This window comes from Homo sapiens, chromosome 12 (assembly GCF_000001405.40).
Source record: "Homo sapiens chromosome 12, GRCh38.p14 Primary Assembly".
Classification (NCBI taxonomy): Eukaryota; Metazoa; Chordata; class Mammalia; order Primates; family Hominidae; genus Homo; species Homo sapiens.
This window is the reverse complement of record NC_000012.12, coordinates 47,959,535-47,961,203: the sequence shown is the minus strand read 5'-3', so window position 1 is coordinate 47,961,203 and position 1,669 is coordinate 47,959,535. Positions and strand designations below refer to the sequence as shown.

The 1,669-nt window shown below is 44.5% G+C and overlaps 1 annotated feature.

The window, feature by feature from the left end:
• Window positions 806–1,336: an enhancer, noted in NCBI's record as "OCT4-NANOG hESC enhancer chr12:48353651-48354181 (GRCh37/hg19 assembly coordinates)". NCBI's record gives its function as "activates a minimal SCP1, AML or CMV promoter by ChIP-STARR-seq in primed H9 embryonic stem cells {active_cell/tissue: H9 hESC(primed)}" and the evidence as "EXISTENCE:reporter gene assay evidence [ECO:0000049][PMID:30033119]".

The window sequence follows — 1,669 nt, the reverse complement described above, 5'->3', positions numbered from 1 at the left end:
CTAAGTCTTCTCTACCCCCAGCCATCTGCATGGACCCCTCCTCTCAGCCAAGGGCATTCCAAAGTTAACCTGAAAAACTAGTTCAGGCCATGATGGGAAGGGGGAGTCAGACATGCCTCACTACCGTTGTGAAAGAAAAATAAATTTCAGGACCCCCAAATCATGAAGTCAAGGGAAAAGTCAAGCTGGAGACTATGTCAGGCAATTCTGCCTCCCATTTTATTTCTAAATAAGGTAGCTACAAAGATCAAAATTACATATCCCCCTCACAATTTGCCCACAAGGAATTTCCTTGTGGACAAAGGACAGACATGACTCAAAGTCATCTTTCTGAGGCTCACCTGAGACAAATGTGTATTCGATTGCCTCCTCTGCCCTACGGTGTATGTAAAAATGCAGGTGTACTGAGCCAGACTAAATTGTGTATTCAATGGAAGGCGGATGTAGGACTCAAAAGAATGCAACCTTTTTTCTCTTATCTATTTCTGACCTGAAAGACCCCCACCTCGGCACCCTTCGAGTTGTCCCGCCTTACTGGACCCAACCAATGCACATCTTACACATAATTATTGATGTCTCATGTTTCCCTAAAATGTTTAAAAGCAAGCTGTACCTGACTACCTTGGGCACATGTCGTTAGGACCTCCTGAGGCTGTGTCACAGGAATGTCCTTAACCTTGTCAAAATAAACTCCTAAATTAATTGAGACTTATCTCTGATACTTTTTTGGATGATACCTCCCACGTCAACCTCCCAAGTAGTTGGGACCATAGGTGTGCACCACCACGCCGGGCTAATTTTTAAATTTTTACTGGCGATGGGGTCTCCCCCTGTTGCCCAGGCTAGTCTCAAACTCCTGGGCTCAAGCAGTCCTCCTGCCTCAGCTTCCCAATGTGCTAGGATTACAGGCATGAGCCACTGTGCCTGGCCAAGAAAACTTCTTACCAAGAGTTTGTATCCCATCCCTGAAATATCATGATCTATGGCAGAGAAGAAGACTGAAGAATGCAATCATGCTTGGATGGAATTTTTCACAAGATAATGCCTGCCTTTCCTGCTCATTCAAATTGCAAAGAGAATCATTTACAAGTTAATGTGTCTGCCTTGTCTATTCATTCTCCCTAATCATTTACTGCCCCTCAAAAGAATTGCTTACATTCCCCATCTTCTCTCTCCCCTGTAAAGAAGGGTTGTATCCATTCTCAGACTGCTATAAAGAACTACCTGAGACTGGGTAATTATGAAGAAAAGAGGTTTAATTGAATCACAGTTCCACAGGCTGTACAGGAAGCATGGGTGGGAGGCCTCAGGAAACTTACAATCATGGCAGAAGGTAAATGGAAAGCAAACACATCTTACCATGGCAGAGCAGCAGAGAGTGAAGGGAAAAGTGCCACACACTTTTAAACCATCAGATCTTGTGAGAACTCACTCACTATCACGAGAACAGCCCCCATGATCCAATCACCTCCCATGAGGCCCCTCCTCCAATTCAACATGAGATTTGGGTGGGGGTACAAATCCAAACTGTGTCATTCCACCCCGGCCCTCCCAAGTCTCATGTCTTTCTCACATTGCAAAATACAATTATCCCTTCTCAGCAATCCCCCAAAGTCTTAACTCATCCCAGCATTTACTCAAAAGTCCAAGTCCAAAGTTGTTACAGGAA